Below are 14,364 nucleotides of genomic sequence, written 5' to 3' on the forward strand. Positions count from 1 at the left end.
TAGTTTTTCAAGGTCTTATATATTTAAGGATGACATTTTACAATCAATGTTTTAGGACAAAATTCTTTCATTAAAATATAGCATACATATTTGCACTTTGTAGAAAAAAGAATAGTGAGGCTGTAGAAACTCTCAGTGTTGTTTTTTTCCCCTAGTTTCTTTTTATTTGACATATGGAGATAATAATGCTTATTCAGTCTTTCTTACAGAGCTGTTAGAATTATGAAGGTAGCTATGTGAAAGAATTTTGAAAACTGAGGTTTCCTGAGAGTTTACTTCTTTAGAACAGTGTTACTCAAGTATGGTTCATGGGTATGTGCCAATGTCTTTGTTGTGGACCCATAATGAGAATATGGAACTTTTTAAAAGTTTACTCTCTGGAAATTTTCTATTTTTAGTATGTATTACCCTCTTGAAGTAGATTTTATATATATAAAAGTAGAGGATTTTAGCAGATAGTATTGTGTTACAGATTCTAGCATGTTTTATTCATTAAGTTAGTTTGTCATTACTGTCTTCTTGGTACTTAAGAATATTTACTGGCCGGGCGCGGTGGCTCACGCCTGTAATCCCAGCACTTTGGGAGGCCGAGGCGGGCGGATCACGAGGTCAGGAGATCGAGACCATCCCGGCTAAAACGGTGAAACCCCGTCTCTACTAAAAATACAAAAAATTAGCCGGGCGTAGTGGCGGGCGCCTGTAGTCCCAGCTACTTGGGAGGCTGAGGCAGGAGAATGGCGTGAACCCGGGAGGCGGAGCTTGCAGTGAGCCGAGATCCTGCCACTGCACTCCAGCCTGGGCGACAGAGCGAGACTCTGTCTCAAAAAAAAAGAATATTTACTGTTTATTGCTTGCTGGAATGCCTTCTTGGCATAATGAAGGAATATTTGTTTCTTTAGGTTATACAGTGGTTGCTGGAAGAAAAATTGTGTGCGCTGCAGTGTGCTGTATTTGATAAGACTTTGGCAGAATTGAAAACACGAGTGGAAAAGATTGAATGTAACAAGAGGCATAAAACAGTTCTCACTGAACTACAGGTTTGTACATTGACTTGAGTTGTATACTCCATGTGTCATTGTTTTTATAACTTATTTTCTGAGATATATATTTGAGATTAACTATAAAATACATTTAAATTCTAAATGTAAGAAGGAAAAGGAGTTTGTTTAGTTTGCCAGGGCTGCTGTAAAGAAAGTGCAATAAACTGAGTGGTTTAAACAGTAGAAATATTCTGTCTCACAGTTCTGGAGGCTAGAAGTTGAAGATCAAGGTGTCAGCAGTGTAGATTCTTTTTGAGGGCTGTGCTGTGAGGAAGAATCTGTTCTATGCCTTTACTGTAGCTTCTGTTGGTTTGCGGACAGTTCTTTGGCATTGTAGAAACATCACCCTGATCTCTGGCTTTATCTTTACATGGTGTTGTCCTTGTATGTGTGTCTGTAAATTTCCCCTTTTTACAAGGACACCAGTCATTGGAGTAGGGGCCCACTATACTCCAACATGACTTCATCTTAACTAATTACCTCTGCAATGACCTTCTTTACAAATAAGGTCACAGTCTGAAATACTGGAAGTTTAGACTTCAATATGTGAACTTTTAGGGGACACAGTTCAAACCATAACGGAGACTCAGAAATTCCTGGATCTAACTTAGTGCTTCATATTTTTTTTTCCAGTCACTAAAGGAAGGCTGTCATTTAGCATGCTATAATAAGTACTAAATAATATTTGTTAGGGATTCTTTTTATGTTAATCTACCTCCTTTCGTGGACCTTATGTTTTAAAGATGTTAGTTTAATAACACGTATTTATTAATTTCTACTTGTCATTTTTTATTAAGTACAACTATATCTTAACATACAATACCAGAGCTTCTGGTCAGCTGAAATGAGCACACAGTAGTGTGCTGTAGTAATCTACTTTATTCCAAAGCTAAGAAGCTGGTATTTGAATCAGTACATTCATTCTGTCATAAGTAAGTGTATGGTTCCTATTGGGTTATTTTATATATGAGCATATCCCAAAGATGCTGAGTGGTAAACCATGTATAGGGCCTTATTTTGCAAATGAAGGAAAAGTGGCCCATGGAAGTCAAATCACTTTTTCCGTTACGAATAAAATTTTAGCTAAATAGGATTAGAATTTAAGTGTGTCTCCCAGACTGACCTATCTAATTATTAAACTTCATTTTACTAGTACTGTTCAGACTTTTGAATTAAATTTGAAAATGCCTGAAGATTTGAAAGAATAATTTTATTCATTGTTTCTCATCACACCCACGGGTGCAACTATGAAATTGTGTTTTTAAAACCTAAGTTTTTGGCTGGGCATAGTGGCTCACGCCTGTGAGCTCAGCACTTTAGGAGGCTGAGGAAGGTGAATCTCTTGAGTCTAGCAGTTAGAGACCAGCCTGGCCAATATGGTGAAACCCTGTCTCTACTAAAAATACAAAAAAATTAGCCGAGTGTGGTAGTGCATGCCTGTAGTCCCAGCTACTTTGGAGGTTGAGGCATGAGAATTGCTTGAACCTGGGAGGTGGAGGTTGCAGTGAGCTGAGATCGGGCTACTGCATTCCAGCCTGGGCAACAGAGTGAGACTCTGTCTCCAAAATAAATCCATCCATCCATCCATCCATCCATCCATCCATCCATCCATCCATCCTAAAACAGTTTTCGACACCTATCATCTCACACATAAGGTGCAATCCAGATTTCTTAACATTTAAATTTGTACTTAAATGTTGCTTGTAGTCTCAGAATTTGAATCTTTCTAACACCAAGCCAATCATCTTCTCTGCAAATGTTCCTGTTACTGACAATTTCTGAATTCTTGGAAAACTCTTGAAGGAAAATCTTCCCGTTGTTCCTCTTATTGGCAGCTCTTGAATTCTTGGAAACCGATCCCTCTCAATCATTTCATATACACAGTGAGTTGCCAAGTTACAACTTGATTATTTCCTAGAAAAAATAAATCTCAATTCTTTTCACTTTTCATTAGGCCATCATTACCCAATTCCTTGATTATAGTAACACCTTTTATATGAGCACTCTGGTACTAGTTTTTAAGTTCTTTCTGGTCCTTCCAAAGCATTGTACTAATTTTTCTAAAATACTGATTACTTCAGTCTCTTTATAGTCCAAGTTCCTCAATTGTGTACCGGTAAAACCAGTATTCATTTTTAAAATTTTTAAATTTTAATCTCTTAATTTTCAATCCACTTTTTCTAATATCCACCAGTTGCTTCACTGTCCTACAGGGTACTATTAATGTTTATTGTATTTTGATACCAGGCTTTTGACTTCGTATTGTTTCCCCTGTTCACTCACCCATGATCATGTGCCCAATTTAATTCCATCTCTTTGTGTCTTGTTCCAGTATTTTGTTTTTTTATGGAAATAAAATTCAGATACCAAACTGTTTTAAAGTGTACAATTCATTGTTATTTAGTACATTCACAATTTTATACAACCACAATCTCTATCTAGTTTCAAAACATTTTTGTCAACTCAAAAAGAAACGTTTTGCCCATTAAGCATTTGCTCTTCTTTTCCTCTTACACTAGCCCTTGGCAACCACTAATCTGCTGTCTCTATCGATTTACCTGTTTTGCATATTTCACATGCCTCTTTCACTTAGCGTGTTTTCCAGCTTAATCTGTGTTTGTAGCATGTATCAGTACTTCATTCCTTCTTAGGGCTAAATAATATTCCATTATATGGCGGTATATGCCACATTTTGCTTATACGTTCATCCATTGAATGGCATTTGGGTTGTTCCTACTTTCAGCTATTGTGAATGATGCTGCTTTGAACTTGTATACAAGTGTTTGTTTGAATACTTGTTTTCAAATCTTTTAGGAATATACCTAGGTGTGGAATTGTGGGCCATATGGTAATTCTTTGTTTAACTTACTGAAGAATCACCCAGCTGTTGTCCACAGTGGCTATACCATTTTCTGTTCCCACCAGCAATGTATGAGGGTTCCATTTCTCCACATCCTCACCAATACTTGTTATTTTTACTTTCTTTTTTTATTATTATAGCATCTGAATGGTATGAAGTGGTATCTCATTAGGGTTTTGATTTGCATTTCCCTAATGATAAATGATGTTGATCAACTTTTCATGTACTTGTTGATCAATCATATGTGCTTGTTTATAGAAATGTCTATTAAAGTCCTTTGCCCATTTTTAATTTGGATTTTTTGCTTTTTTGTTGTTGAGTTGTAAGAATTATTTATATATTCTGGATACCAAAGTCTTTTTTTTTTTTTTTTTTTTGAGACGGAGTCTCCTGCCAATTCCCAGGCTGGAGTGCAATGGTGTGATCTTGGCTCACTGCAAGCTCTGCCTCCCGGGTTCACGCCATTCTCCTGCCTCAGCCTCCCGAGCAGCTGGGACTACAGGCGTCTGCCACCACGCCCGGCCAATTTTTTGTATTTTTAGTAGAGATGGGGTTTCACCATGTTAGCCAGGATGGTCTCCATTTCCTGACCTCATGATCTGCCCACCTCGGCCTCCCAAAGTGCTGGGATTACAGGCGTGAGCCACCGCGCCCTGCCCAGGATACCAAACTCACCGCACCCGGCCCAGGATACCAAACTCTTATTAGATACATGATTGCAAATATTTTCTCCCGTTCTGTAATTTGTCTACAACTTCTTGATAATGCCTTTTGATGCACAAAACTTTTAAATTTTGATGAAGTCTTACAGATGGTATATAGTTTGGTCATGATTTATTATCAGTTCCACCAATCTCTACCTTTTAATCAAGGAGTTTATTTACATTTAAAGTAGTTACTAATAAGGAAAAACTTCTGCAATTTTACTTTTCTTCTATATCTGATACCTTTTTTGTTTCTACTTTCTCCATTACTGCCTTGTTTTGCAATTGATTTTTTCCTGGTATATCATTTTGATTCCTTCTTGTTTCTCTTCCTATATATATTTTTAGTTTTTTCCTTAGTGGTTACCCTGGGGATTACACTTAACATCTTAACTTTATAACAGTTAGGTTTCAATTAATATCTACTTATTTTCAGTAGCATACAAAATCAAATATCATTATGATTGTGCTCTAGAGAGGGAAATATGTTTTTTTGGTGTAGATACTACCCATGTGGCAATTGTTGGCAACCGTTCTACCCACATTTTGCTGCCTGTTTTGCAATGTGTACATAGTTCAGCCTGATTCTGCCCTTCACTCTGGGTATAGTAACACTTAGCCAATCGAGTCCTGTTACAACAAATATAAAGCATAGTGCAAGATCATGAGAGGAGTTTGTTGAGATCAGTTGTGCTCATTTTGGCTAAATTTATGTGGTGCAGTTGGTTTGGAAATAAAACTTTGAATTCGTTCTTACTGCGTATTTCAGAACAATTTCCTGTTAGCTAATATGATATTTTGACTTTTGGCTTAATATGTTTTAGTATAATTATCCAGGGACAATTTGTTCAGTTGAATACATCTGAGACAAATTGTTCTATTGGTCTGATAAATCTTTGACCTAGAAATAAAATAAATACAAATAAACTGCACAAGGATTAGAAAAGGAGACAAGATCCAGAAGGGATTCTTTAAGAACGTTTTTATGTTAACAACCTTGTACCAATGAAATCTGTTGTATACAAAAAGGAAGCAGGAGGCCAGGTGTGATGGCTCATGCTTGTAATCCGAGCACTTTGGGAGGCTGAGACAGGTGGATCACTTGAGGTCAGGAGTTCGAGACCAGCCTGGCCAACATAGTGAAACCTCGTCTCTACTAAAAATACAAAAATTAGCTGGGCTTGATGGCACATCCCTGTAATCCCAGCTACTAGTGAGGCTGAGGCAGGAGAATCGCTTGAACCCAGGAGGCGGAGGTTGCAGTTAGCCAAGATTGTGCCCTTGCATTCCAGCCTGGGCAACAGAGCAAGACTCTGTCTCAAAAAAGGAAGCAGGAAAGCTAGGTTTTGAGGAACTGTATCAAAACTATAGTCAAAGATCTATTTCTGAAGAAGTCATGGAACCCAGAAAGCTTTGCCAGATAATTCTGACAAATCATTGAGGAACAGGTAATTCTTGTCTGATGTAAACTGTTCCAGGGTATGGAGAAAGATGAGACTTCCATTAGATGAAGTAAGCCCATCTGTGAAACCTCTAGCACAAGAAGAGAAAAAAACATAGTTTAGTTTTATTCCCCAGCATAGATTTCTCTTAAGAATGCAAACTTGGTTCAGTATTAACAATTATACGTTACTCTGCTAATGTAGGAAAGGTGAAAAATAGTGTGATCATCTCAGTACATGCCAAATCAGGATTTGTTAAAATTCACTGGTCATTCATGGAAAAAACAGGAGGTAAATACCTTGAATCTCTTAAAGGGTTTTCAGAAACCTGTTGTAAATATCATATTTAATAATGGATTATTGGAAATATTTCTACCAAAGTTGAGAATGAGAAAATGCCTATTAATAGATGTTGCTATTTAGAGCTTTGGTGTCAGTCTTGGGCAATACAGTGAGACAGGAAAAAGAAATGAGTAACAATTGGTAAGTGGGAACCCAATAGAATTAAGTTGGCAAACTGTTGAATGAAGAAGGAAATATAGCAACTACCTCATATAAGGACAATATATTCTAATAGTTTTCCTTATATCAACAATAACCAATTAGAAAATATAATGAGAAAAAGATTTCACATATGGTAGTTATTTAAAAATGAGTAAGCACTTAAGAATAAACCAAAAAATAAAATTTTAAGACCATTATGAAGAAAAAGGACAGAACCAGAAAACAGGAGTCAACAGTGATTAGTACTATGCTCTTAAATAGGAAGACTTGATTCCTCTCAAATCACAGTATAGTTCAAATTCATAATACTCGGAATTTCAACTAGATTTCTTACAGAAATGGAAAAGCTGTCAACACACTCTGGAATATAACATTCCGTTGGTTATGACTTAGAAAATGCCATTTTAAGTAGATTTAACTAAAAATGTCTATTTTACTTTTTCCTTTCAGCCTCGGCTCCTGTTCCCTATCAATGAAGTAAATTTATGACAGCCTAATACAGAGACAGTTTTAAATAATAGAAACTGTGGGTCTGTTTATTTACTTGCTTTTATGAGCAGTAATATTTGTTATAGGCCAACCTTGATGTTAAGGAAACCTCTTTTTTTTTGTAGACAGAGTTATTTCCTAAGAGGTTTCCTGGGTACATATGCAGTGAAATTCTTGGTTTGTCTAGTTTCCCAAATAAAACCCAATGTAATAGAATATCACTTTTCTGGAGTTACAAAAATGACTTGTTTATTCATTTTTTTAAAATGTCTCAGAATATCTACCAAAATAGCCATTCTTAGACACAGTATGGCAGATATTTTGAATTATAATTAAAAAAGAATTGTACAGCTTCCTATGTAAAAACAAAAAGGCTGCTCTTTGATTTCTCTGTTTTATAATATTAAATATCAGAAAACTATAAATCAGTGTCCACATTTTGAGTTTGTTTTTCTGCTACTGGATTCATTTTTAAAATGATAATTCTTTTAAAAAAGAGTTTGAATACCACAAATGTATGTGATGTGAAAATGAGGTCCTTAGTTCATTTTCTTTCCCACTTTCTGCCAATCATAGCTTCCAGCGGTGACTACTTTTAACCTTGGAATGTATAGATCTTTTTCTATACATGTGACATATACAAGATGATTTTGGGGGGGCTTAAGTAAAAATAGAATAATAATATTATGCATACTATGCAATTTTTAGTGTAACCACCTAGTTTTTTTTTTTTTTTTTTTGAGACAGAGTCTTGCTCTGTCATCCAGGCTGGAGTGCAGTGGTGCGATCTCGGCTCACTGCAGCCTCTGCCTCCTGATTCAAGCAATTCTCCTGCCTCAGCCTCCCGAAGAGCTGGGACTACAGGCGCGCGCCACCACGCCTGGCTAATTTTTGTATTTTTAGTAGAGATGGGGTTTCACCATGTTGACCAGGCTGGTCTTGAACTCCAGACCTTGTGATCCACCTGTCTCAGCCTCCCAAAGTATTGGGATTACAGGTGTGAGCCACTGCGCCTGGCCCACCTATATGATTTGACTAAAGAAAAAATGACATTCTCGCATGAGCTGGGGTACAGAAAATACCTTCCCTTTCCCATATACCTTTCTTTTCTTTTTCTTTCTTTCTTTTTTTTTTGAGAGAGAGTCTCGCTTTGTCACCCATCCGCCCACCTTGGCCTTCCAGAGTGTTGGGATTACAGGCATGAGCCACTGCACCTGGCTTTCCCATTTACCTTTTTAGAAAGTTATTTGAGATATTTTAGTCATCAGAAAGGTAAATCCATGTTAAGGATATGAAATTATGCTTTATGATCTTGAGCCTTAATAACATGCATAAATAACTAAGTCCTTAGGGAAAATCTTTACCTTTGAGAGTCATAGGTAACTGATTGCCTAGGCCATAATATTGGACTTAAGCACATTTTAAGATTTGGGTTCTCCTCTAGAAGTGACTGCTTTCTGCAAGAAACTTTAAAAGTAAATCATAACATTTTCTCATTTTTATGAAATGTATGCCCTTATTGGATAAAATAAATTCTCTGGCAGAGCTCTTCCTTAGGTAGGGCCTCATGAATACACTCAGAAGTTTAATTTTCTTGAAAATATGTTTAATTTAAAATGGCTTCAGCAGCAACAGCAACAGAAACAGTTGAATATTACGTCTATGCTTAGTAAAAGACTGAAAGGAGATACTACCAAATATTCATGTGGTGAAATGATAATTTTTATTTTTCTTTTTGTTCTGCTTTTTTTTCCCTCAGATTTCCTTTCAATATGTATTTGGGCAAAATATGTGATCAGGGAGTTTGTATAAGTACAACAAATGATTAATAATCTCACTGACCATGTTGACACAAACAAGGTAATGGGTTTTTTGTTTGTTTTTTGTTTTTTTTTTGAGACAGAGTCTAACTCTGTTGCCCAGGCTGGAGTGCAGTGGCGCGATCTTGGCTCACTGCAACCTCTGCCTCCCGGGTTCAAGCGATACTCCTGCTTCAGCCTCCTGAGTAACTGGGATTACAGGCACGTGCCACCACGCCTGGCTAATTTTTGTATTTTTAGTAGAGATGGGGTTTCACCATTTTGGCCAGGCTGGTCTCGAACTCTTGGCCTTAGGTGATCCACCTGCCTCGGCCTCCTAAAGTGCTGGAATTACAGGTGTGAGCCACCATGCCTAGCCAAGGTAATGTTTTTATCAGATTGTTAAAGACTAACAGAATATGTAATTTAATTTGTGAAAAAGTAATATATGAGCATTCATTTACACTTCTGTTGAAAGTGTCACAGTAAAGCCTATACATCCATCCATATGTAGTATTGGCAAGGGATCTTTTATGACTTACAGATATTTCCACTTTATAATTCTCAATGAGAAAATCAAGTGTGATTACAACTGTGTTAAAAAAATAACAAAACACAGGCTTACATATTCAGGAATGTACTGGTAAGTGAGCAACACTCAAAAGTTCGAGGAAGAAATAGGCTAACCTAATTAAGAGTGTTTACATCTGAGTACTGAATTTAGGGGTCACTTAGTTTTAGTCATAACTGTATTTTCCAAGTATATAGTTTATAATCAACTTAATTTATTTTCTTTACTCAGCTATCTTCTGAGGATCCTGTTTTCTATAGGTTTCTTTTTATATATTCATGGTTTTTTTTTTTAATGCTGTAATACTATTTGATTTCCATTCATTTTTGTCTTTTTTTTTTTTTTCAGGCCAAGATAGCCAGGTTAACCAAACGCTTTGAAGCAGCCAAAGAAGATCTTAAGAAAAGACATGAAGTAAAATTTTTCTATTCTTGCATAATTAATATTTAGCACTAAGTGGTAATCTTAGGAAATGCTGAATTAGGAGGAAACTGTATTACAAATCTGAAATTTGCTTTCATACTGTGTACTCCTCTATGTAATTTCTGGATCTTCAGCCCTAGAACTAATGAACCCCTTTCAAATCCTCATTTACTATTCTCATATATCAACATTTATATTCTATTTTAGGTTATGCAATTCTTTTTTTTTTTTTTTTTTTTGAGATGGAGTCTCTCTGTCGCCCAGGCTGGAGTGCAGTGGCACCATCTTGGTTCACTGCAACCTCTGCCTCATGGGTTCAAGTGATTCTCCTGCCTCAGCCTCCCAAGTAGCTGGGATTACAGGTGCCCACCACCATGCCTGACTGATTTTTGTATTTCTAGTAGAGACGGGGTTTCACCATGTTGGCCAGGCTGGTCTCGAACTCCCAACATCAGGAGTCCATCTACCTTGGCCTCCCAAAGTGCTGGAATTACAGACATGAGCCATTGTGACTGGCCCCTTAGGTTATGCAATTCTTGAAGCTGTATTTTCTGTCCATCTTTAAAATTAGGCTTCAGGGATTTGTCTTACCTTGTTTCTTTCATTTTGCATTCTTGTCAGATTCCCAGTATGGTCTCTTACTATTTTCCCCAAAGTATTTTAGTATTCTACTGCCTGTAGTATTCCTGTTCTCCCCTTCCTTTCTTCCCCATGTAGTCAGTCCTCTTTTATGCTTTAATTGTAATATACAGAGATTAGATTAAGTCACTTTATTGACTTAAACAGTTTGAATATTTTTTAAAGTATACAATTAAGTCCAAACATAGCATAAATTGACTTCCATAGTCTGGCTTTTGCTTGTTGGTGTTTCCTTCATTTTTCCTTTGTTTATCATTTTGCCACTCTTCTGTTATTTCCTTTATTATTCATATTTTAATATAGTACTTTGTATATTGCATTATAGTTTTTAGTTGGATTTATTTTCTTTTCCTCCTGAATTTTTTTTGTTTTTAATTTTTTTATTTGAACAAGGTCCATTTCTTCATCTTGATAGTTCCATTGTCTGGCACATAGTAAATTGCCAATATCAATAAATAGTAATCATTTTTCCTAGAGGTTTTCTGTATTGATACATGTTCATATATTCTTTCCTGTTTTTGCAGCAATAGTACATAGAGCCCTATGAACTCTTCCCCTAGCTTCCCCTGAGTGGTGAAATCTTATCGCTGTAGTACAGTATCAAAGTGAAGAAATTGACAATTTTGTTTACAAAGTAGTTTACAGACTTAACAGTTTCTACCAGTTTTTACATGTGTATTTAAAAATTCATTGTGCATTTATGTCTGTCTGTGTTTATGATTCCATGCACTTTGATCACATGTATAGATTTATGTAGCCCCCATCACAGTCAAGATATAAAATTGTTACATCACCATAAGTGGACTCCCTCATGCTACCCTTTTCTGGTTTTATTTTTATTATTGTTACATCTGTTGATGGACACTTGGTCCATTATTATCTTTGGGCTATTTTGAATAATGCTGCAATGTACATGGGAGTGCAGCTATCTCTTTGAGATCCTGTTTTTAATTCTTTTGCATATATACCCAGAAGAGGAATTACTAGGTTGTATGGTAATACTTTTAGATATTTGAGGAGCCCCCATTCTGTTCTTCATAGAGGCTGCACCATTTCACATTTATACCAGTAGTGCTCAAGAGTTCCAGATTTCCCATAACCTCGCTAACGTGTTATTTTCTGTTCTTTTGATAGTGACCATCCTCATGGATGTATGTGATACCTCATTGTAGTTTTGATTTGCATTTCTCTAATGACTAGTGATGTTGAGCATCTTTTCATATGCTTGTTGGCCATTTATGTATCTCCTTTGGAGAAAAGTCTCTTCGGGTTCATTGCCTATTTTTAAATCAAGTTCCTTATTTTTGTTGTTGTTACTAAGTTGTAGGCATTCCTTATATATGCTGAATATTGACTCTTATATAAATTATTTGCAACTTTTTTGCATCCTTTGTTTCCTTTTCTCTCGATTGTTTCCTTTCATATACAGAAGTTATTAAGTTTGATGCAGTTCTGTTTGTCTATTTTTGCTTTTCTTACCTGTGCTATTAGTGTCATATACAAAAGAATCATTGCCAAATCCAATGTCATGAAACTTTTTCCGTATGTTTTCTTGTAGGAATTTTATGGTTTTAGGTCTTATATTTAAATCTTTAGTCAATTTTGAGTTAATTTTTATATATTTTGTCAGAGTCCATCTTCTTTCTTTTGCGTGTATATATCCAGTTTTCCCAGCACCATTTATTAAAGAGGCTGTCCTTATCCCGTTGTGTGGTTTAGGCAGTTTTGTTGAAGATCATTTGACCGTATATGTGAGTTTATTTCTAAGCTCTCTATTCATTTCCTTTGGTCACTGTCTATTTTTGTGCCAGCACCTCACTTTTTTCGATTATTGTAGCTTTGTAATATATTTTGTGTGGTTCCCCCACCCCCCGCCCCCTTGGCTAACTTAGCCTAATATGTAATATGTTTTCAAATCAGGAAGTTTGAAAACCTCCAACTTTGTTCTTTTCAAAACTATTTTTGCAATTCAAGATCCTTTGAGATTCCATATGAATTTTAGGATTTTTTTCTGGAAAAAAAAAACAAACCCACTATTGCAATATTGATAGGGATTGCATTGAATCTGCAGGTTGCTTTGGGTAATACAGATATTTTAACAATAATAAGACTTCCCAATCCATAAACACAGGATGTCTTTTCACTTATTTGTGTCTTTAAACTTTTTCCAACATTGTTTTGTAGTTTTTATTGTGTAATTGTTTTCTCCCTTTAAGTGTATTCCTAAGTATTTTATTCTTTTCGATGCTATTATAAATTATATTGTTCATTTCTTTTTTATATTTTTTATAGTTTATAGATATGCAACTGATTTTTGCAGGTTGATTTTGTATCCTGCAACATTGCTGAGTTTACATATGTTTGAACAGTTGTCTTTAGGGTTTTTACATATGAGATCATATCATCTGTGAACAAAGATATTTATACTTCTTTTTCTGATTTGGATGTCATTTATTTCTTTTTCTTGCATAATTGTTTGGTTTAGAATTTCTCATACTATATTGAACAGAAGTGGCAAGAGTAGGCATGCTTGCTTAATTCCTGATCTTAGAAGGAAAGCTTTCGGTTTTTCACCATTGAGTATGATGTTAACCATGGAGTTTTCATGTATGGCCTTTGTTAAATTGAGATAATTTCCATTTCTGGTTTGATGAGTGTTTTATTTATTTTTTTCCATGAAAGGGTGTTGAATTTTGTCAAGTTCTTTTGCTGCATCAATTAAGATGATCATGTGGGTTTTGTCCTTTGTTCTGTTAATATGTTACATTGATTTTTATATCTTGACCTATCCTTGCATTCCTCAGATAAACCAACTTGGTCATGGTGTATAATCTTTTTACATGCTGTTGAATTTGGTTTGCTAATATTTTCTTGAGGATTTTTATATCAGTATTCATCAGGGATATTTGTCTGTAGTTTTAGTATCTTTGTTTGACTTTGGTATCAAGGTAATGATTGCCTAATAAATGGAATTTGAAAGTACTCCTACTTGGAAGTACTCCTCTTGGAATACTACCAATTGTTTGGTAGTATCCTCCAGTGAAGCCATCTGGTCTTAGGTTTTTGTTTGTTAATTTTATTTTTAAAATTTATTATTTATTAATGATTATTATTTTTGCAACAGAGTCTCACTCTGTCATCCAGGCTGGAGTGCAGTGATGTGATCTTGGTTCAAGTGATTTGTGTGCCTCAACCTCCTGAGTAGCTGGAATAATAGGCCTGCACCACCACGTCTGGCTAATTTTTGTATTTGTAGTAGAGACGGGCTTTCGTCATTTGGCCAGGGTGGTCTTGAACTCCTGACCTCAAGTGAGCCACCGCACCTGGCCTTAGGCTTTTTTTGTTAGGAGATTTCTATTACTGATTAAGTCTCCTTAATAATTATAGATTTATTTATTTATTTACTTTTAATAATTCAGTCTTGGTGGGTTGTGTGTTTTTAGGAATTTATTTCTTCTAGGTAATCAAGTTTGCAGGTGTGTAATTGTTCATTGTAGTCTCTTGTAATCCTTCCCATTTATGTAGCATCAGTTCTAATGTCTTCTCTTTCTTTCATTTCTTTTCATCTTTAAAGTCATCTGTTTTGTTAGTTAGCCTAGTTAAGGATTTATCAATTTTGCTGATTTTTTTTAAACCAACTTTTAAGTTTTGTTTTTGTTTTTCTATTCTCTATTTTTGTTTACTTCCACCCTAATTTTCATTATTTCTTTCCTCTTGCTAATTTTGGGTTTAGTTTTTCCCCTCTAGTTCTTTGAGTTGTAAAGCTAGATTGTTGATTTGAGATCTTTGTGTTTGTGTTTTACCACTATAAACTTCCTTCTTACCACTGTTTTCACTGCATACAATTTATTATATTTTGTTTTCATTTTCATTTGTCTGAAGATATCTTGTAA

General features: G+C 35.5%; 1 protein-coding gene across 15 annotated transcripts in view; it reads left to right on the forward strand.

The window, feature by feature from the left end:
• ATF7IP (activating transcription factor 7 interacting protein) overlaps positions 1-14,364 on the forward strand; it is a 137,249-nt gene that overhangs the window by 71,549 nt on the left and 51,336 nt on the right. For all 15 annotated transcript variants that reach the window (NR_170893.1, NM_018179.5, NM_001286514.2 and 12 more), the window contains exons 5-6: positions 900-1,037; positions 9,758-9,823. Coding sequence is in view for 14 of the 15 variants with exons in the window: in NM_018179.5 (NP_060649.3) it covers positions 900-1,037; positions 9,758-9,823 (204 nt within the window). In the remaining variant the exon portion in view is untranslated. The remainder of the gene's footprint in view (positions 1-899; positions 1,038-9,757; positions 9,824-14,364) is intronic.

This window comes from Homo sapiens, chromosome 12 (assembly GCF_000001405.40).
Source record: "Homo sapiens chromosome 12, GRCh38.p14 Primary Assembly".
Classification (NCBI taxonomy): domain Eukaryota; kingdom Metazoa; phylum Chordata; class Mammalia; order Primates; family Hominidae; genus Homo; species Homo sapiens.